This window comes from Homo sapiens, chromosome 7 (assembly GCF_000001405.40).
Source record: "Homo sapiens chromosome 7, GRCh38.p14 Primary Assembly".
NCBI lineage: Eukaryota > Metazoa > Chordata > Mammalia > Primates > Hominidae > Homo > Homo sapiens.
The window spans coordinates 100,479,331-100,499,122 of record NC_000007.14 but is presented as its reverse complement, the minus strand read 5'-3'; the positions used below and the strand labels follow the sequence as shown (position 1 = coordinate 100,499,122).

The 19,792-nt window shown below is 55.7% G+C and overlaps 1 protein-coding gene across 1 annotated transcript, besides 11 other annotated features; it reads right to left on the bottom strand.

The window, feature by feature from the left end:
- Nucleotides 1–4,320: 4,320 nt before the first annotated feature.
- NYAP1 (neuronal tyrosine phosphorylated phosphoinositide-3-kinase adaptor 1) lies at nt 4,321–15,196 on the bottom strand. The gene is made up of 7 exons (NM_173564.4): nt 15,122–15,196; nt 13,744–13,895; nt 11,941–12,302; nt 9,457–10,971; nt 8,394–8,606; nt 8,028–8,137; nt 4,321–5,477 (listed from the first exon to the last, which is right to left on the bottom strand). The coding sequence occupies exons 2-7, from the start codon at nt 13,809–13,811 to the stop codon at nt 5,220–5,222; spliced, it is 2,526 nt and encodes an 841-aa protein (NP_775835.2). The 5' UTR covers nt 13,812–13,895; nt 15,122–15,196; the 3' UTR covers nt 4,321–5,219.
- Nucleotides 5,133–5,252: a silencer, noted in NCBI's record as "silent region_18440". NCBI's record gives its function as "represses an Ori minimal core promoter by ATAC-STARR-seq in GM12878 lymphoblastoid cells {active_cell/tissue: GM12878}" and the evidence as "EXISTENCE:reporter gene assay evidence [ECO:0000049][PMID:35858748]".
- Nucleotides 7,888–8,411: an enhancer, noted in NCBI's record as "H3K4me1 hESC enhancer chr7:100088335-100088858 (GRCh37/hg19 assembly coordinates)". NCBI's record gives its function as "activates a minimal SCP1, AML or CMV promoter by ChIP-STARR-seq in primed H9 embryonic stem cells {active_cell/tissue: H9 hESC(primed)}" and the evidence as "EXISTENCE:reporter gene assay evidence [ECO:0000049][PMID:30033119]".
- Nucleotides 8,412–8,937: an enhancer, noted in NCBI's record as "H3K4me1 hESC enhancer chr7:100087809-100088334 (GRCh37/hg19 assembly coordinates)". NCBI's record gives its function as "activates a minimal SCP1, AML or CMV promoter by ChIP-STARR-seq in primed H9 embryonic stem cells {active_cell/tissue: H9 hESC(primed)}" and the evidence as "EXISTENCE:reporter gene assay evidence [ECO:0000049][PMID:30033119]".
- Nucleotides 11,643–11,937: an enhancer, noted in NCBI's record as "tiled region #1011; HepG2 Activating non-DNase unmatched - State 20:ReprD, and K562 Activating DNase unmatched - State 8:EnhW". NCBI's record gives its function as "activates a minimal TATA promoter and a strong SV40 promoter by Sharpr-MPRA in HepG2 and K562 cells {active_cell/tissue: HepG2 | K562}" and the evidence as "EXISTENCE:reporter gene assay evidence [ECO:0000049][PMID:27701403]".
- Nucleotides 12,503–12,797: a silencer, noted in NCBI's record as "tiled region #11703; K562 Repressive non-DNase unmatched - State 7:EnhWF". NCBI's record gives its function as "represses a minimal TATA promoter and a strong SV40 promoter by Sharpr-MPRA in K562 cells {active_cell/tissue: K562}" and the evidence as "EXISTENCE:reporter gene assay evidence [ECO:0000049][PMID:27701403]".
- Nucleotides 14,375–14,901: an enhancer, noted in NCBI's record as "H3K4me1 hESC enhancer chr7:100081845-100082371 (GRCh37/hg19 assembly coordinates)". NCBI's record gives its function as "activates a minimal SCP1, AML or CMV promoter by ChIP-STARR-seq in primed H9 embryonic stem cells {active_cell/tissue: H9 hESC(primed)}" and the evidence as "EXISTENCE:reporter gene assay evidence [ECO:0000049][PMID:30033119]".
- Nucleotides 15,151–15,420: a silencer, noted in NCBI's record as "silent region_18439". NCBI's record gives its function as "represses an Ori minimal core promoter by ATAC-STARR-seq in GM12878 lymphoblastoid cells {active_cell/tissue: GM12878}" and the evidence as "EXISTENCE:reporter gene assay evidence [ECO:0000049][PMID:35858748]".
- Nucleotides 15,471–15,860: a silencer, noted in NCBI's record as "silent region_18438". NCBI's record gives its function as "represses an Ori minimal core promoter by ATAC-STARR-seq in GM12878 lymphoblastoid cells {active_cell/tissue: GM12878}" and the evidence as "EXISTENCE:reporter gene assay evidence [ECO:0000049][PMID:35858748]".
- Nucleotides 15,593–15,808: a silencer, noted in NCBI's record as "fragment chr7:100080938-100081153 (GRCh37/hg19 assembly coordinates)". NCBI's record gives its function as "represses an EF-1alpha promoter that drives an FKBP-Casp9 reporter gene in an ReSE screen in phorbol 12-myristate 13-acetate-treated (for megakaryocytic differentiation) K562 erythroleukemia cells {active_cell/tissue: K562(+PMA)}" and the evidence as "EXISTENCE:reporter gene assay evidence [ECO:0000049][PMID:32094911]".
- Nucleotides 19,394–19,503: an enhancer, noted in NCBI's record as "active region_26369". NCBI's record gives its function as "activates an Ori minimal core promoter by ATAC-STARR-seq in GM12878 lymphoblastoid cells {active_cell/tissue: GM12878}" and the evidence as "EXISTENCE:reporter gene assay evidence [ECO:0000049][PMID:35858748]".
- Nucleotides 19,594–19,753: a silencer, noted in NCBI's record as "silent region_18437". NCBI's record gives its function as "represses an Ori minimal core promoter by ATAC-STARR-seq in GM12878 lymphoblastoid cells {active_cell/tissue: GM12878}" and the evidence as "EXISTENCE:reporter gene assay evidence [ECO:0000049][PMID:35858748]".

Sequence of the window (19,792 nt, the reverse complement as noted above, 5' to 3'; positions counted from 1 at the left end):
GATCTCCTGACCTTGTGATCTGCCCGCCTCAGCCTCCCAAAGTGCTGGGATTACAAGTGTGAGCCACCACGCCCGGCCCTTTTTTTTTTTTTTTTTAAGACAGGTTCTTGCTCTGTTGCCCAAGCTGGAGGGCAGTGGTGCAATCATAGCTCTCTGCAGTGTTGATTTCCTTGGGCTTAAGTGATCCTTACACCTCAGCCTCCTGAGTAGCTGGGACTACAGGCACATGCCACTATGCCTAGCCTTTTTTTTTTCTTTTAACTTTTTGTAGAGACAAGGTCTTGCTATGTTGCCCAGGCTGATCTGGAACTCCTGGGCTCAAGTCATCCTCCTGCCTGGGCCTCCCAAAGTGCTGGGATTACAGGTGTGAGCCACTGTGCTTGACCCCACAAGCCTTCCTTCTCCCTCGCTCCACGATAGCTGTTTGTCCTGAAGGTTTTCCTTTTGTATTTTTGTATTTATTTTTACTTTTATTTTTTTGAGATGGAGTCTCGCTCTGGCCCCCAGGCTGGAGTGCAGTAGCACAATCTCTGCTCACTGCAACCTCCACCTCCTGGGTTCAAGTGATTTGCCTGCCTCAGACTCCAGAGTAGCTTGGACTACAGGTACTCACCACTATGCCTGGCTAATTTTTGTATTTTTAGTGGAGACAGAGTTTCACCATGTTGGCCAGGCTGCTCTCGAACTCCTGACCTCAGGTGATCCATGCGCCTCAGCCTCCCAAAGTGGTGGGATTACTGGTGTGAGCCACCACGGCCAGCCAAGGTCTTCCCTTTTTAAGTGACTCAAAATACTTTAGTGTTATCAACTGATCCAATATAGGTTCTATAATTTCTTGTTAATGTTACTCCTATTTATTTTAAGGTTTTTATTGCTCTTATGAATGGGATATTTCCTTCCATTAATTTTCCTTTCCTTTTTTTTTTTAATTTTTTTGGAGACAGAGTTTTGCTCTGTTGCCCAGGCTGGAATGCAGCTACATGGTCTTGGCTCACTGTAACCTCCGTCTCCCAGATGCAAGTGATTCTCCTGCTTCAGCCTCCTCAATAGCTGGGACCTACAGGCACACACTACCATGCCCGGCTAATTTTTTTCATTTTCACTAGAGAGGATTTTGCCATGTTGTCCAGGCTGGTCTCGAACTCCCAAGTTCAGGCAATCCACCCACCTCGGCCTCCCAAAGTGCTAGGATTACAAGCGTGAGCCACTGCACCCAGCCCCTTCCATTAATTAACTTTTTTTTTTTTTTTTTGAGACAGAGTCTTGCTCTGTCACCCAGGCTGGAGTGCAGTGGTGCGATCTCGGCTCACTGCAGCCTCTGCCTCCCGGGTTCAAGCAATTCTCCTGCCTTAGCCTTCTGAGTAGCTGGGATTACAGGTGCCCGCCACCACACCCAGCTAATTTTGTATTTTTAGTAGAGACAGGGTTTCACCATATTGGCCAGGCTGGTCTCGAACTTCTGATATCAAGTGATCTGCCCGCCTCGGCCTCCCAAAGTGCTGGGATTACAGGCATGAGCCACCTCACCCGGTCTAATTTTCTGGCTAGTTAAAAAGAGCTACTGCCTGTTTATATCTTGGGTTTTGTTTTTTGTTTTGTTTTGTTTTTTTCAAGTTGGGGTCTCACTCTGTTGCCCAGGCTGGAATGCAGTGAAGGGATCATAGCTCACTGCAGCTTCCAATTCCTGGGCTGAAGCGATCCACCCATCTCAGCCTCCTGAGTAGCTCCAGCTACAGGTGCTCACCACTACATCCAGCTAATTTTTATTAATTTTTTTTGTAGAGATGAAGTCTAGCTTTGTTGCCCAGGCTTGTCTCAAACTCCTGGCCTCAAGCGATCTTCTAACCTTGGCTTCCCAAAGTGCTGGGACTACAGGCATGAGCCACTGTGCCTGGCCTGTATTTCATCCCTAGCTCTTTTCTCTAGCCCTGCCCTCCTTGCAGAGGTCAGCTGTGTTGGGCTTGAGTGCCATTTCTATGTCAATTACTCCTAATGTCCATAGTCTTGTCCTGTCTCCTGAGCTATCATCATTTTACTTTTAACTTGTTTCCTAAATTTCAAATACTCACATACCACTGTCATAATTTTTCATATTCTGTACATTGCCTGTACTATTATTTATTGGCTTAACATTTTTTCTTTAAACCAGCTCATTAAAAATAACTCTAGACTTATCTTGTGTAATCACATTCATGAAATAACAAGTAGCCTTATGTATTGGTTATAACTTTTCTAATATAAGTGAAAATAAATACAAAACTATTACAGTTTAAAAAAAAATGCTCTTCTTCATAAAGTGTAAAAACATCTCTTGTGGCATCTACCACATTTTTTTTTTTTTGAGACGGGGTCTCACTCTGTTGCCCAGGCTAGAATGCAGTGAAGCAACCATGGCTCACTGCAGCCTTGACCTCCTGAGCTCAAGCGATCCTCCCACCTCAACCTCCTGAGTAACTGGGATTACAAACGTGTGCCACCAAGCCCAACTATTTTTTTTTATTATTGTTTGTAGAGATGGGGGGTTCTATGTTGCCCAGGCTGGTCTTGAACTCCTGGCCTCAAGTGATCCTCCTGCCTCGGGCCTCCCGAAGTGCTGGGATTACAGGCGTGAGCCACCACGTCTGGCTATCCACCACATTTTCCGAAACTCTGTTCTATTCAGTAACAAACCATTCAACCTAAATATTCATCATTGCTTCAAATTCAATGTTCTTCCTCCAAAGTCACTCTCAAGCCCACCTGCCTCACTCTGTCAGTTCCCCGATCACCAGACCTCCAAACTTGGGCTTCTTGTATGACCAATTCTGCTCCTTCACTCCCATCCTAAGGTTTCCTTTCAGTGGCCTCTTGCAACTGTCCCTAGCCCTCCATCCTCCCAGGCATCCTCCTTATCCTCCTCCCTGGTGACAGATCACCTCCCAGCAGGATTCCCCTGGCTTCCCTAGTGAGGACCTGAGTCTTGCCTTGTGGCCCGCTTCACCATGGCTGGACCCCCTTCTTTTTTGAGATGGAGTTTCGCTCTTGTTGCCCAGGCTGGAGTGCAATGGCGTGATCTCGGCTCACTGCTGCAACCTCTGCCTCCCGGGTTCTGGCGATTCTCCTGCCTCAGCTTCCTGAGTAGCTGGGATTACAGGCATGCGCCACCATGCCCAGCTAATTTTTTTGTATTTTTTAGTAGAGACGGGGTTTCTCCATGTTGGTCAGGCTGGTCTCGAACTCCCAACCTCAGGTGATCTGTCCCATGGCTGGACCTCTTAATGCCATCACCATCATTTAAACATACTTCCTACCTCCCCCTGCCCCCATCTCCTACTGTTCCATAGACAATCAAAACCATGACCGTGACCTTGGGAGTTTGCCTCTTCCCCTCCCCAAACTTCACCTGTCCTTTTTTTTTTTTTTTTTTTTGAGACAGGATCGCATTCTGTTGCCCAAGCTGGAGTGCAGTGGCATGATCTCTGCTCACTGCAGCCTCTGCCTTCTAGGTTCCAGCCATCCTCCCACCTCAGCTTCCTGAGTATCTGGGACTAAAGGCGCATGCCTTCACACCTGGCTAATTTTTGTATTTTTTGTAGAGATGGGGTTTCTCTATGTTGCCCAGACTAGCTTACCTGTCCTTTTAGGGTAACTTTGCAGGAAGCCTTCTTAGATGATTCCAGCCCTGTACCCCCTCTTTTTTCTTTTCTTTCATTGTTGTTGTTGAGACAGAGTCTCGCTCTGTCGCCCAGGCTGAAGTGCAGTGGCATGATCTCAGCTCACTGCAACCTCCACTTCCTGAGTTCAAGTGATTCTCCTGCCTCAGCCTCCCAAGTAGCTGGGATATATCGCCACCACACCCGGCTAATTTTTGTATTTTTTTTTTTAGTAGAGATAAGGTTTTACCATGTTGGTCAGGCTGGTCTTGAACTCCTAACCTCAGGTGATCTGCCCACCTCGACCTCCCAAAGTGCTGGAATTACAGGTGTGAGCCACCACGCTTGGCCCTGTCCCCCCTCTCTTACTCCTTCAACAGTTTATTGTCATCTCAGTGGAGGTCATCTGAGTAGATCACAAGGTACTTGAAGGCAAGCTTCATGCCCAAATATTCCTTCTGCATCAGTGCAATGCCAAGAACACATTCTGTGCACAAAAAAAATGCTAATGGAGTCATGGCCCAGTGCATTCCCAAAGACTTACCTGGAACTCCACCTCGCCCTGTGACTTGGCCACAGCTACTCACCCCTCCCCGCACAACCTTCAACTCCCACCAACCAGGGGCAAGATGGGAAAAGGAGCAAGTGTAAGAATAGCAGAGCACGCTGTGAAATAGAAGAAGCCAGCTTTAGGATCATGAGTCTTTTAATATATTATTCTGAAAAGAAAGGAATTAAAAAAAAGTTCCTGACATCTCTTCTGTTTTGTTTTTTAATTTAAATAAATACCCTGCCCACCCCCTCCACCCGCTAAAATTTCCCTCCTCCTCCCCCATCATCCTGCCCATCCCTGGCACTAGACCCTCACCCCAGAACTAAATAAGATGCCTGATTCAGAGCAGGCCACACTGACTACCAAATTCTGGCAAATTGTAAATACTGTGAATGGTCTTGGGCCCTCTGCTTCCCTGGGCCCCTTCTTCTCTCGGTCCACTCCCCATGCAGACCCCTCCTTGGCTGTGGGGTGGCATGGACGGCGGGGCCTTTAGGCATTGGCATTGGGGAGAGTGCAAACTTGGCCCTGATTCTCCACTCCTAGCTCAGGAGTAGGTCAGAAAGGCCCAGAATCGCCCTCCAGACTGAAATAAATAACAAAATAAATACCCCCTCCCCAACTCCCGGCTCTCTAGAAAAGAGCTCCTCCATCTGGCACTCTAGTCCCTCTCTTTCAGCTCACCCACCCCCCTCTTCCTCCCATCCCTTCCTTCCTCCCTTCCCCATGCTGACCTCTGGCTTGGTTCAGGAGGAGGGGTGTACAACGCCCAGCGGGAAGAACAGCCAGAGCGACTCTCGCCCCAACCTCAAGCAAACCCTCCTCCTCCTCCGTTTCTCAGCAGCGCTGTTGGCATCCTAAGCCCAATGGGCCTGGCAGACTCTCCCCATCCCGGGGGGTAGGTTGGAGGGCAGGGGTTCTCCCTGGCACTCTCCCACGTAGTCTTTCAATGTCTCTCAAGGCGAGGCTCCCGGGAGAGCCAGGCGTGCCCGCCCCCTCCCCAGTCCAGGCGCCCCGGTACCCCCCCGCCCGCCTCAGATGGCGGTGTCCCAGAGGACCGTGTGCTGCCGGCGGCAGGGCGGGGTGCCGGACTTGCGGGGCTCGGGTCCCCGCCGCCAGCTGGGGAGGATGGGCATGCTCTCCTGCTTGCAGAGGCCTCGGTCCGGGCGGTGGCGCGCCTTGATCTCCTTGCACACGCAGCGCTTGCGCTCGATCACCTCCAGCAGCTTCCCGTCACGCTCGCGGGCCGGCTGGGGCGGCAGGGGCAGAGGCAGCGGCAGCGCGGGGTGGGGCTGTGCCGCGGGCGGGGGAGAAAGGAAAACGCGGGTAAGGTCGGGGACCTCAGCATGACCGGACGGGTCCGCACTGCCGAGACCCACGTCTCCCCTCAGAAGCAAGTCCTTGCTTGCCCCCCAACGGCCTCTGCTGGCTCCCTCTGGCTGTGGGGCCCATGGGGGCCAAAATCCAACTTGCGCAGCTTTGGCCCAGCCACTCCCTAGTCTTCCTAGACAGGTGCATTTTTTAAGTTGGTCCCCCTAGAAGGGATCTCCCCTTTTTTTTCTTTCTTTTGTCTTTTTGAGACAGGGTCTGGCTCTGTCGCCCAGGCCAGAGTGCAGTGGTGCAATCATAGCTCACTGCAGCCTCGACCTCCTGGGCTCAAGCAATCCTCCAGTGTCAGCCTCCCTCCCAAGTAGCTGGGACTACAGGCATTTACCACTACACCAGCTAATTGTTAAAAAATTAAATTAAAGTTTATTTTTGTATTTATGGGATCTTGCTTTGTTGCCAAGCCTGGTCTTGAACTCCTGGCCTCAAGGGATCCTCTCATCTTGGCCTCCCAAAGCACTGGGATCACAGGTATCAACTACCGTGTCCAGCTGGGGCAAGGGTAGACAAGGTCCCTCCCTTCCTCCTTTCCTCCCTTTCTTTCTTTCTCTTTTCTTTCTTGCTTTCTTTTCTTTCTTGCTTGCTTTCTTTCTCTCTTTCTCTCCTTCTCTCTTTCTTCCTTCTTTCTCTCACTCTCTCTCTTTTTCTTTCTTTTGACAGGTTCTCCCTCTGCCACCCAGGCTGGAGTGCAGTGGAACGACCATGGCTCACTGCAACCTCCACCTCCCAGGCTCAAGTGATTCTCCTGCCTCAGCCTTCAGAGTTGCTGGAACCACAAGCATGCACCAGCATGTCTGGATAATTTTTAAATTTTTTGTAAAGACAGGGTCTCCCTATGTCGCCCAGGCTGGTACAGAATTCCTAGGCTCAACCACTTCTCTTGGCTCGGCCTCCCAAAGTACTAGGATTATAGGCGTAAGCTACCATGCTTGACCTCTTTATTTTTATTTCTTTTGAGACACGGTCTTGCCCTTACACCCAGGATAGAGTGCTGTGGTGGGATCGTAGTTCATTGCAACCTCAGCCTCCTGGGTTCAAGCGATCCTCCCGTCTCTGCCTCCCACAGTTCTGGGATTGCAGGCACAAGACATAGTGCCCAGTGGGGAGGTCTTTTTCCTAAATCGCACAAAGGTGTGCTGTTGGCTAGTGGTGGCCCTGACTGATCTCCAAGCTGGGCCCTACCTTGCTGCCCATCTTAAGCAAACCCTCAAACCCTTCCCAGATCCTCTCCCAACCCCCTCACTCTCATTCCTGGGTTCCCGCTGTCTGCGCTGGCTCAGGCCCCAGTCTGCCTGGCCCCTTTTTTTTTTTTTGAGACAGAGTCTAACTCTGTCGCCCAGGCTGGAGTGCAGTGGCATGATCTTGGCTCACTGCAGCCTCCGTCTCCCGGGTTCAAGCAATTCTCCTGCCTCAGCCTCCCGAGTAGCTGGGATTACGGGTGCCTGCCCCAATGTCCAGCTAATTTCTGTGGGGTTTTTGTTTTTTGTTTTTTGGTTTTTTTTGAGACAGAGTCTCTCTCTGTTGCCCAGGCCACTGGAGTGCAGTGGTGCGATCTTGGCTTACTGCAACCTCCGTCTCCCGGGTTCAGGCGATTCTTATGCCTCTGCCTCCCGAGTAGCTGGGACTACAGGCGTGCGCTACCACGCCCGGCTAATTTTTGTATTTTTAGTACAGATGGGATTTCACTATGTTGGTCAGGCTAGTCTTGAACTCCTGACCTTGTGATCCACTCGCCTCAGCCTCCCAAACTGCTGGGATTACAGGCATGAGCCACCGCACCTGGCCCTAATTTTTGTATTTCTAGTAGAGACAGGGTTTCACCACATTGGCCAGGCTGGTCTCAAACTCCTGACCTCAAGTGATCTGCCCGCCTCGGCCTCCCAAAGTGCTGTGATTACAGGCGTAAGCCACCGCACCCTGCCTGGCCCCTTTCTTTCTTTTTTTTTTTTTCTTCTAAGACAGGGTCTCACTCTGTGGCTCAGACTGGAACGCAGTAGCGTGATCATGGCTCAATGCAACCTCCACCTCCCAGGGTAAAGCCATCTTCCTACCTCAACCTCCAGAGTAGCTGGGAATTCAGGCTTGCGACGGCACACCTGACTACATTTTGCATTTTTTATAGAGATGGGATCTCACTATGTGGTCCAGGCTGGTCTCGACCTCCTGGGCTCAAGCAATCTACCTGCCTTGGCTTCTGAAAGCATTGGGATTACAGGTGTGAGCCACTGCAACTAGCCTTCTTTTAAAAAAAAGAAAAAATAGAGACAGGGTCTCACTATGTTGCTCAAGCTAATGAACTTCTGGCCTCAAGTGACCCTCCCACCTTGGCCTCCCAAAGTGCTGGGATTACAGGCATGAGCCACTGTGCCCAGCCCTGGCCCCTTTATTGCTTTTCTTTGCATATTCAAGCCTTCTCCACCTGCTCCTTCACAAATAAAAGAAAAACCAAGCCTCACCTGGCTCAGGGCATCCCTGGGCTGGCTGCAGGGCCGGGGTGTGTGGAGCACGACCTGCCGGACTCCGGAGGTGGAGGCGGAGCGCCCCAGGCGGTAGCCTCCCGTGAAGTCTGAGGTGGAAGAAGGAGGAGTGAGGAGTGCAGGGGCCTCAGGTACCCCTCCCCTAGTTCCCAGTCCCCTGCCCTTGAATGGTCCAGGCTGCCCCTGCCTCATCAGAAGGGAAAAAGGGGTGGAGATGTGGTATGAGGATTTAGGGCCCTGGGCACAGACGTGAACAGGTGAGAGGAAGTCAGGACAGGTGCAGCTAGACCCCGGGAGATCCCCCAGCCAGCCCCGCTGTGCACAGGTGTGTGCAGGCCGCGTCACCTCCATTGCGGTGGCAGGCGGGGAAGGTCTGGCAGGGAATGGGCAGCGCGGTGCGGCTCCCTCCTCGGTCTCCATGGTGGATCCTGGCCAGCAGTCCCTCTGCCCCCTGGCTTCTCACTGGGATCCCCGATGTCCCAGGGCCCCTGTCCTCACGCTCCACCTTGCCTGGACCCTCGGCACTGCCATTCCAGGCCCGGGCACCGTCCTCGACCTCTGCTGGGATGACAAGGAGAGCTGTGTGCCTGCATGTTGGAGGCGTCATTCTGTCCCTCTGGCCACACATGCTGCAGTATGGGTGGACCAGGAGACACAATTGCCCCTTTTGCAAGTAACGGCTGGGATGGGGCTCCTTCACACTCCCCCAACATACATACAAACACACACACACCCCTTCCTTTCCACCCATTGGTACCATCTCTTGGGGCTGAGAATCATGTCTATGTGCTGCATCCAAACCCTTTTCCCTGGTCAGAGGGGCCTCCCCAACCGCAGCTTTAGCTTCCAAGCCCCTCCATCTCCAGATAGGGCGAGAATGACCATCCCCCTGGGATCAAGACCTGTAGGGGGAGAATCCCAATTCCTGAGCCCAGAAGGGGGAGCGCTGGGGGGAAGGGCTGCCTGTGAACTAAGCTCATCTCTGAGAGGAGGCCTGGCAGAGCATTGCGTTGCCAGGCAACGGTAGGGGCCTCCCTCTCCTCTCCCTCCTGTCTGGATGGGTTGCCATGGTAACAGCTGGGAGGCAGCTGTGTTTAGTTCCTGGTGCGCACACTCACAAGCACACACCCCTGCAGCCCCGGGAAGGGAGGGGCAGGGAGCAGAGCAGGACAGGGCCAGATTTGACCCCCTTCGCCTCCCAGACCTTCCTGCCCCTCCAGCGCACACTGGGGGACCCCGGTCTTTCTGTCTATCGCCCACCCCCACCTCTCTGGTCTCCTAGAAAACATCCCAGACTCAAGGCTGTGACTTCCAAATAACCCCTCCAACACCTCCCCCAAACCATCGCAGGCATCCCCAGCTGCCCCCCACCCCTGATGCCAGCCCCCACTCCCCACCCCTCACTCACTGTCCAACTCCTTTGCTTTTCTCCCTCCATAGAGGACCTTCCTCTGCAGGGCCCAGCCTGCCCCAAATGTCGCGGCGCCCACCTCCTCTTCTTCCTCCTCTGGTGTCCCTGCGCTGGCGATGACGTGGGCACAGGAGATGCTGGCAAAAGCACCCCCATCGGTCCCTTGCTCCTGCAGCTGGATCTTGACCATGGGGGATGGGGCCCCCACACCACAGCCCTTATTCAGCACCCCCCCAGCCTTGAGGCTCTCATAGGCAGGGGGTCTCTTGAGCCCAGCTGCTGTGGCTGGGTAGGTCCACAGCGGGGTCAGGGGGCCTACAGTTGGGTCCGGAAGGCTGTGGGGGGAGGCCAGGCAGCCGCGGTGGTGGAGGACCCCAGCTGCTGCGCCCATGGCCCCACCGTGGGGGCTGGTCTTCCCTGGCACAGGGGGCCTTGAGCTGGTACACAGCATCCCATGGAGGACCGAGATCTCCTTCTCCGTCTTTGGCTCCCCAGCACCCAGGGGTGGACCAGCTGGCAGGACAGAGTGCGTGGTCACCTTGACCGCCGAGTACACCATGGTGTAAGACACGGCCTTGTCCTTGGGGGGGCCGGGGAGCAAGGCGGCCGGGGCAGGGGGGGCTGCCGGCGCCCCCGCCGCCTTAGGGCAGATCATGCTGTGGGAGTTGGGGAGCTCCCGCTCCCCCCGGGGCTGGCCAGAGCCCTGGGGTGGCAACGGTGTCGAGTGGCTCCGGGCCCGGCCCGATGGTCCCAGCAGCAGCAGGTTGGCAGCAGGAGGTGGAGGCGGTGGGGGAGGCGTCTCCCGCTCCCGTGCAGGCACTTGGGGAGCTGGGGTGGAGCCGGCTGGCTCCTTGGAGTGGCAGAGGACAGGTAGCCTTGAGACCCCATCGCCAGGGGTTCGGGAAGCAGACTTGGCTTGGGGGAAGGCCAGGAGTGGAGGCCGGTGCTGAAGGAGGTTGGGGAAGGGCGGGGGGATTTCACAAGGAGTGGTCTTGGTGGGCGTCCCGTCCCTCCGGCTCGGGAGGGCTGAAGCTGGGCGGCGGTGGGCATGGGGCGGAAGGGCGTGAGGCTGTTGTGGCGGGGATGTTGCCGTCAATGGTGGAGGGCCATTGGCCCGGCCTTCCCCAGCCTCTTCCGGCAGCGGGTACTTCATCTCTTCATAGATGGCCTCACTCTCTTCAGAGTCCGAGTCGGCGCCCGCTGGAGGGGTCGGGCCCCCACCCCCAAGAGGGGGCCCAGCCAGGCCTCCTCCACTTCGTCCTCCTCCCCTAAAGACGTCCCCCACCATCTCAATGTACACAGGCTCTTCCTGGGCACCCACATCAGGGTCCCCAGCTACTCGGGACCCCCTAGTGAGGCGCTGAAGAGGCAGGTTCCCCCCTCGAGGAGAGGGGCCTGGGGGGCAGGACTCATCGAAGGAGACAGAGAGCTGGGTGTTAGGGCTTCGCCTGGGCTTCTGCGGAGGAACCTTCCGGCTGGACTCTCGGCCCTCTGGGGTTGGCTTCTGTGAGCCTGGACAGGACAAGAAAGAGAAAAATAAACCAGGCTTTTAATGAGGGGAGCAAGTGGGAGGAGCCCATTCTGATCCCTTGACCCTTCTGCAAGGACATATCTGCCTCTTCCTTTTCCCCACATTCCTCAACTTACAGCCCCAGGAGGTTTCTTCATTTCTTTTTTATTTTTTAATAGAGATGGGTCTTGCCATGTTGCCCAGACTGGTCCCAAATTCCTGGGCTCAAGGGATCCTCCTGCCTCGGCCTCCTAAAGTGCTAGGATTCCAGGCATCAGCCACCATGCCCAGCTGTAGGTTCCTTTTCTACTAGTCAGCCCTTGGTCTTTTTAAAACGTCAATTAATTGGCCAAGCACAGTGGCTCACGCCTGTAATCCCAGCACTCTGGGAGGCCGAGGTGGGTGGATCACCTGAGGCCAGCAAGCCTGGCCTTGTCAGCCTGGCCAACAAGACGAAACCCTGTCTCTACTAAAAATACAAAAAATTAGCCGGGCGTGGTGACGGACGCCTGTAATCCCAGCTACCTGGGAGGCTGAGGCAGGAGAACTGCTTGAACCTGGGAGGCGGAGGATGCAGTGAGCTGAGATCGCACCACTGCACTCCTGCCTGGGCAACAGAGCGAGACTCTGTCTCAAAAAAAAAAAAGTGCTGAGATTACGGGCGTGAGCCACGGGGCTTGTCCCACAGCCCTCAGTCTTTCTAACGTATTCTCCAGAATTCGCAGCTCCTACCTTCATTGTCCCTCTGAGGCCACCACCCCTTTCTCAAGAACTTTTCAGGGAGTGTCCCCTGCCCTTGAATGGTTCATCTCAGGCCCATCCAAAAGGACCCCCCCAATTCCTTTTGAGAATGGAATCTTCCACTTCCTTGGTTCTTCCCTGAATGAACCCTCCCGGCAAGCCTCCCCGGGCGTGGAATAGATCCTCCCAGCTCCCAGCTCCACCCCAGGGAGAGATAGGGGGTATCTCACCTGCTTTCTTGCTGGGGGGCGTCTCTGCCCCAGACCCAGGCCCCACCATGCTGAGCTTGGTGCTGGGGTGTCTCCGGGGCTTGGCAGGGGGTCTTCGGGTGCTGCTGTCCTCTGTGAGGCCCCCACTGGCCCCGCCAGGGCCACCCCCGACACTGTCCATGCTGCCCACCGAGTGGCAGGAGAGGGAGCGTGGGGCCATGGCGCTGCGGCAGGGGTGCGGGGTGTGCTCCTGGGAGGCGGGCATCGTCATGAAACCCATCCTGAGGGAGCGCCGCAGCGAGGCGATGTCCCGCACGCGGACCCCAGGCCCCTGGCCGGCCGCGGGCCCAGCCGAGCCAGCGGGGGCCACCTCCTTACTGGAGCTGGGGAGAGAAGGCCACGATGGAGTGGAGGAAGGGCCTCGGACCTGGGCATCCCCCTTCTCCACCCCAAGAGGTGTCAGCAACCCTGTGGCTTCCCAGGGAAGAGGACGGGAGCCTGGGTGGGGACAGGGTTGCCAGAAGGTCCAGGGCACCAATGAAGGGGCTTCAGGCAGAATCTTGGGCTTTAAAAACACAAGGCAGTTGGGGGCAGGGATGAGAAGAGGGGTGAGTATGCCTGCAGGGGAGCATCCCTGGGGCTGGCGGATCCCAGCCTGGGCACCTGTGTGGACAGCCTTGTGCAGAGGTAGAGATACAAACCCAGGTAACACAGATGGACACGCCTGCCCCCCACAGCTCCTTGGCCCCTCTCACTCTCACAGTGGCCCACACCTGGCCTCTGGTTACCCCTCCTGCCCAGCCACTGTGACCTCTGCCCCCACGGCACACCTCCTCTCCCAGATGCAGGATGTGCCCCTCCAGGACCAGAGCAGCCTCCCTCCCTGGCCCATCCTTCTTCCTCCCTCTCCCCTGGTGCTGTTCTCTCTCTGTCAGCCTCCCCGGCTCACCCCCATTCCATTCCACTGTCCCTGAGCTTCTGTCTGAGTGGAGGGTGGCAGAGGGTTGGGGGGGCGGCTGGCAGGGAAGAGAGGAGAGCTGTGTGGGGTGGGCACTCATTAAGGCCCTGTCTACTAGCCCTTCATTAGGGAGAGATCGCTGCAGCGATCACTCTGATTAATCTAATTAACAACAAGAATTAAACTCCACAGTTGCGAGGAAGGAAAAGGGAGGTGGCTGTGAGTCAGGCTCCAAGTGGCTGTGAAGTCAATGGGAGAGAAGAGGAGAAGGAGAGAAGGATGGGAGAGGCCAGGCCCCAGGTCCCTGGAAGGGCAAGCGGGGAGGCAGACAGGGATTGCAGGGGTCTGGAGGTCGTCCCCTGCCCTGGCTCTTTGGCAAGGCCCAGCCTGCATGTCTGCCCACCACACACACAACCCCATCACTTGACCACTCACCTCCCCCAGCAGGGAAAACTGGGAGGAGGCCAAGTGGATGTTCTCTGATGCCCCTGAAATGACCCCTTCCCTAGACCCTGGGAGAGAGGCGGGGCCTGCCCCTTCCAAGGTCAGGTGACAGGAGAGCCCGCAGCCAGCCCCAAATTTGCAGAAAGGAGAAGGGCTACAGGCCAGAGGTGAGTCAGGAAGGAGTGACTCGGGCCTCTGGGGATGGGGAACAACCAAAGGGGTGCTCCTAGGCTGTAAACCCCCCCACAGGAGAGCAGGAGTTGGGCCAGGACAGTGTGTGCAATCCTGGCCATTCCGTACTGACTCTGAGATCAGAGAGCTCACTCATGACAAGGCTGCCGGCCCCCGAGAAGGGCTGTGGCCCAGTGAGGGGGCAGGCAGAGGTGCGGAAGGGAAGGGAGCAGTCTGGGGTGCAGCCTTACCTCCTCTTGGCCTCCTCTTCCTTGTGCTGCCTCCACTCCAGCTTGGTTTTTCGGTAGAGGAGGTTCATCTCGTGGGGCAGGAGGTGGGGGCTGGGGGGCCCTGCTCAGTGCCACCAGGCCCGGGGGGCGGCCCTCCCTGGGTCCCGGATCCACTGGCGGGCGGGGTGGGTGAGAACGGAAAAAAAAGAAAGGTGGGATGGGTGGGGGCCAGGGATGAATGAAAGAGAGAAAACGGAGAAGAGACATGACTCGGGTCCTCAGAGAGGAAAACACAGACAGAAAACCCAACACAGCTTCGAGGACCCACAGACAGACAGACACAGACCCCGACAAAGGTGTTCAGAGCCCCAAATACACACTCTGGAGAGACCAGGTCAACACAGATTCCCTTCTTGTGTAAAGACATCCCGATCCACCACCCATACAGGCCCCACAAACGGACTGCAACCCCTCAGCTACACAAGTACACATTCAGACACACAAACCACGGAGCCACCGACCCACATCTACAGACAGAGGACCAGACGCAGAGATTGGCATAGGTAAACAGAAACCTAGGGATAGACAGGCACACAGACATAAACACCCACAGACACACCCACAGACCTCCAGACACACACAAATCTGCTACACAGAACTGGACACACCTACAGGCAGAGTTATGCCCAGGGCCTACTTGCGTACATTGCACCCCACTGGGAAAAGGGGAGATGGTCAGACTCTCCCCCCTATCTTGGGCTGTAGGGGGATCTCATGAGGGCAGGGTGGGGACGCTGAAGGAAGGATGGGAGACACCCTGAGTTGGGTATCTAAAATACCACCCATCCATCTATCTCCACTGCCTGCCTTCCCCCACTTCCAGTCCTTCCCCGGGCCTGGGCCTTGGTCCACCCCGATTCTGGCTCCCTGGCCCTTTAGCAATGGTTTAGTCTCTGCCTCCCTCCCTCGCTGATGGCCCCAATCACCTTCTTCTTCCTCCAGGATTTGGGAGGCCCCCTGGTTTTCCTCTTCCAGTCCCCGCCCCTCAATCCCACCCGGGGGGCTCCAGTCTGGCCCCACTGCTACCTTCTGGGCTGCGGCCTCCATACCTGCTCCGGTTTTCCTTCCCCCAAACCCACACTCTTCTTTTCGCCTTCAGCCTCACTTCTCCTCCCAGGCGCCCCTCCTTACAGCCGTCCTCCCCCTTCCCCTGTTCCAAACCTGGCCTGCTTCATCCCCCTTCTCCATCCAAGGGCCCCAGGTTCCTGGCACCCCTCCCCTTCCCCTTGTCCTGCTACCCTGGGCTTCTCCGCCTTTCGCTCCGCCAATCCTCCCTGTCCCTTGTCCCCCCACCCCAACCTTCCTGCACCAAGCCTCCCCAGGTTCTCCATCACCGTACCTGGCCTGCCGGGCGCCGGCCCCCCCATGCCGGGCTCCGCCCGGAGCAGGAGGAGGGAGGAGGAGAGACAGAGACAGACCGGGGGGAGCGAAGCTGGGCCCTGCCGCAGAGACAGCCCCGCCTCCGGGTCCGCCCCCAGACCCGCCCCCGGCCCCAAACCCACCCTTCCACACCCTCCAAGGACGGAACGGGAGCGGCCGTGCGGCGCGGGGCCGTGGGGCTGGGGCGCGGGGCGGGGGAGCCGCGGAGCCTGCGGGGGCAGATTCGGAGGAAGGTCGTGGGGCGCTGGGGGCCCGGCGCCAGCCCGTCGCGGTCTTTGGGCGTCCGCTCCTCGCCGCCCCTCGCCCCCTGCCCGGCCGGTCGGTGCTGAGTTCGGTCTCCCCGGCCCCGGCGGAGCGGCGTGCGGCGGCGCCCCCCAGCGGCAGCCTGGGGCCCACGCCCCCGCACCGTGTACCCCGTGCACCCCGTGCAACCCGTACGCCCGGCGCGCCCCGGGTCCGCACCCAGCGTCGGTCCGGGGCCGAGGCTGCGGCTGCGGGGCCCGGGGTGCAGTGAGGCGCTGGGGCCGCCAGGGGGTGCCGCTTTCCGGGCCGAGGGGCTCCGAGGGTGGGGAACGGGACGGGCGGCGGCTCAGCCCAGCAGGGGGCGTGCTCCGGCGGCCGCGCCCCCTTTCCCCACCGCCCCCAGGTGCCAGGAGAGCACCTGAGTTGGCTCGCGGGGGAATCGGCTGCCTCCCCCTGCAGCCTCCCGGGGGTGCCCGGATCTCGTTCCACCGTCTGGGCTCAAAGCTATCCGCCCCCGTGGCCCGAGTCCTCCTCTCGTGACCTTTGACTCCCCCGGCGCCGCTCGCAACGACCAGGGTCGACCTGAGTGTGGCCACCGCGGCTACCACCCTGGCACTGTCGGGGGGCCGCTACGGGACGTGACCTCGACCTCCCCTTTTCTCATTTATCTTTTCTTTTCTCATTATCTCCCCTAGAAATAACTCCCTCTGAAATCCCTTGGGCTCACAGCTCTGCAGCGGGGGTAAATCAGCTCGAGAAGACCTCGGTTGTACCTTCCACGGGCTGGAAAATGGGCACGGCAAAGATAGGCACGGCCTGATCCCTGGAGCCTGCGAATGCTACTTTCCATGGCAGCGTCTTTGCAGTCTTGCTGTGTGGCTTTAGGCAGATCGTGCAACCTCTCTGAGAGACGCTTTAGTCCGGGGATGTCCACTCTTTTAACTTCCCTGGGCCACATTGGAAGAAGAATTTGTCTTGGGCCACACATAAAATACTCTTAACACTGGCGGGGCGCGGTGGCTCACGCCTGTAAATCCCAGCACTTTGTGAGGCCGAGGCTGGTGGATCACCTGACATCAGAAGTTTGAGACCAGCCTGGCCAACGTGGCAAAACCCCGTGTCTACTAAAGATAGAAAAAATAAGCTGGGCATGGTGGCCTGCGCCTGTAATCCCAGCTACTCGGGAGGCCAAGGCAGGAGAATCGCTTGACCTGGAAGGCAGAGGTTGACGTGAGCCCAGATCGGGCCACTGCACTCCAGCCTGGGTGAGAGAGAGAGACTTTGTCTCAGAGAAAAAAAAAAAAAAAACGAAAACAAAAACAAAAACCAAAACTTAGGCGTTTTAAGAAAATTTACCAATTTGTCTTGGGCCACAAGCTGCCCGTGCGGTTGGACAAGCTGGCTTTAGTCCATTCTTTGGAAGGGGAGGGGTAGTAAAATAATACCAAAGTGCCTTGTAAATTGTAAAAGGTCCCACATATTATAGGCTATTAAGAATGCTCCCAGGGGAGGGAAATATTAAAACACTTAAAACCCATTTCACATTTATACCTTTAGTATGATTAGTTTATATGTATAGGCCGGGAGCAGTGGCTCACGTCTGTAATCCCAGCACTTTGGGAGTCTGAGGCATGCAGATCACTTGAGGTCAGGAGTTCGAGACCAGCCTGGCCAACATGATGAGACGCCCATCTCTACTAAAACTACAAAAATTAGCCAGGCGTCGTGGCGGGTGCCTACAATCCTGGCTACTCGGGAGGCTGAGGCAGGAGAATCACAACCTGGGAGGCGGAGGTTCAGTGAGCTGAGATCACGCCACTGCACTTCAGCTTGGGTGACAGAGCAAGACTTCATCTCAAATTAAAATATAAAAATTTGTATGTATTTACTCAACAAACATTTCTGCAGAGATCAACAATGTGCCAGGGCCTCTAGACTCAGATACCAGTGCCTGAGGCAGAGAAAGAGACTGCCCAAAGATAATTTTTGAATAGTTTGTAGCAAGTCAGCAAGAAGGAAGGAGGGTCTGGGGAAGGAGGGACCAAGGCTGTGTTCTGAATGTTGCTAGAGGAGAAAAGGTTCTGTAAGGGACAGAGGGATGCAGTCTAGAGGGGTAGGGAGCAGGTGGGAGGCTGCTTCCCAGACTTCACTACTTGGGAGGCCCACAGACTTGGGCTATGGCAGCCGTTGTTACTATGGCTTAAGGGAGAGAAACAGAAGTGTGGATGCTTCTAACAAAGAGATAAAGAATAAATACATAAAGAGGGTAGGTATTGCATTGTTTTATTTTTACGTACCCCTAAAGAGGGGTTAGAGGCCGGGCGTGGTGGCTTATGCCTGTAATCCCAGCACTTTGGGAGGCCGAGGCGGGCGGATCACGAGGTCAGGAGATCAAGACCATCCTGGCTAACACGGGGAAACCCCGTCTCTAGTAAAAATACAAAAAATTAGCCGGGCATGGTGGCGGGTGCCTGTAGTCCCAGCTACAGGCTGAGGCAGGAGAATGGCGTGAACCCGGGAGGTGGAGCTTGCAGTGAGCCGAGATAGAGCCACTGCACTCCAGCCTGGGCGACAGAGCGAGACTCCGTCTCAAAAAAAGAGGGGTTAGAAATTTCCCTGAGGCCAGGCACCATGGCTCACGCCTGTAATGTCAGCTCTTTGGGAGGCCCAGGTGGAAGTATCATTTGAGGCCAGGAATTCGAGACCAGCCTGGGCAACATAGTAATAACCTGTCTCTACAAAAACTAAAAAATTAGCCAGGTATGGTGGTATACACCTGTGGTCCCAGCTACTAGGGAGGCAGAAGCAGGAGGATCACTTGAGGCCGGGAGTTCAAGACCACCCTGGGCAACATTGCAAGATCCCCATCTCTACCAAAAAAAAAAATTTTTTTTTAAAGAAATTTAGCCAGGCGTAGTAGTGTGTGTCTGTGGTCCCAGCTACTTGGGAGGCTGAGGCAGGAGCATGGCTTGAGCCCAGGAGTTCCAGGCTGTGGTGAGCTATGATCGCACCACTGCACTCCATCCTGGGCAACAGAGAGAGAGAGAGACCCTGTCTCTAAAAAAAAAGGCGGGGGCAGGTTGGGGGAAAGGGGAATAGTATAACATCTAGGATCTGATTTCAAATAGTCCAGCAAACTACAGCTGGCCCCCACACAATGTCATTTCATTGAATGTCATTTCATTATAACATTGATGATTTTCTAAAAATTGATTTTGGGCTGGGACCACCATCTGTGTGGAGTTTGCATGGTCTCCCCATGTCTGCATGGCATGTTTGAAAATTTTCATAATAATCCACTTTTTTTTTTTTTTTGAGACATGGTCTCACTCTGTTGCCCAGGCTGGAGTGCAGTGGCACAATCTTGGCTCACTGCATCCTCAACCTCCTGGGCTCAAGAGATCCTCCTGCCTCACAGCCTCCTGAGTAGCTGGGACTACAGGTATACATCACCACACTCAGTTTTTTTTTTTTTTTAAGATGGAGTCTCACTCTGTCACCAGGCTGGAGTGCAGTGGCGTGATCTCGACTCACTGCAACCTCCGCCTCCCAGGTTGAAGTGATTCTCCTGCCTCAGCCTCCCGAGTAGCTGGGACTACAGGTGCCCGCCACCACACCTGGCTAATTTTTGTATTTTAAGTAGAGACTTGGTTTCACCATGTTGGCCAGGATGGTCTTAATCTCTTGACCTCGTGATCCGCCCGCCTCGGCCTCCCAAAGTGCTAATTTTTTAAATTTTTTGTAGAGATGGGGATCTCGTTATATTGCCCAGGCTGGTCACGAACTCCTGGGCTCAAGCGATCCTCCCACCTTTGAGTAGCTGGAATTATAGGTGCACATCACCATGCCCAGCTATTTTTTTTTATTTTTTGTAGAGATGGGGTCTTGCTATTATATTGTCCAAACTGGTCTCAAGCGATCCTCCTTCCTCGACCTCCCAAAGTGCGGAGATTACAGGCATGAGCCACCACCGGGATCCGGCAATAATCCACTTTTAAAAATAAGGAATGGGGGGAATAATGCAGTTGCTGTGAAAACCAAAGGAGAATGACAGTAACAGCCACAGCTGCCCCACAGCAGGGACTGGGAACTTCTGGGTGGGCATGCAGCACACCTCCCGGCCTGTGCCTTCCGTCTCTTCTGTGTGTCTCTAGGCCAATGGCAGCAATTGACTACAAGTAAGGGAATCCCTCGCCTCCCTGCAAGCTCCTCCCCTTTCTCCCCGAGCCCCGCCCCCTGCAGCCCCTCCCTGCAAGAGTGGGGCTAGGGCCCGGCAGGTGTGGGGTTAAGGGAGTCTGTTTGGGGCCCCCAGGAGCAGCAGCCTAAGCAGTGGCTGCAGCAACTGCAACAGCAGCGGCTGTGGCAGGCCTGGCCCCGGGCCAGCTGG

Bases quoted from the DNA above. Each gene is read 5' to 3' on its own strand.
- NYAP1 (NM_173564.4), bottom strand. From the start codon at position 13,811: ATGAACCTCCTCTACCGAAAAACCAAGCTGGAGTGGAGGCAGCACAAG. The intron at 8,607-9,456 runs GTGAGTGAGGGG...TCATCCCAGCAG, and splicing joins AAAAGCAAAGGAGTTGGACA to AGGTCGAGGACGGTGCCCGG. The intron at 8,138-8,393 runs GTGACGCGGCCT...CTTCCACCTCAG, and splicing joins CGCCTGCCACCGCAATGGAG to ACTTCACGGGAGGCTACCGC.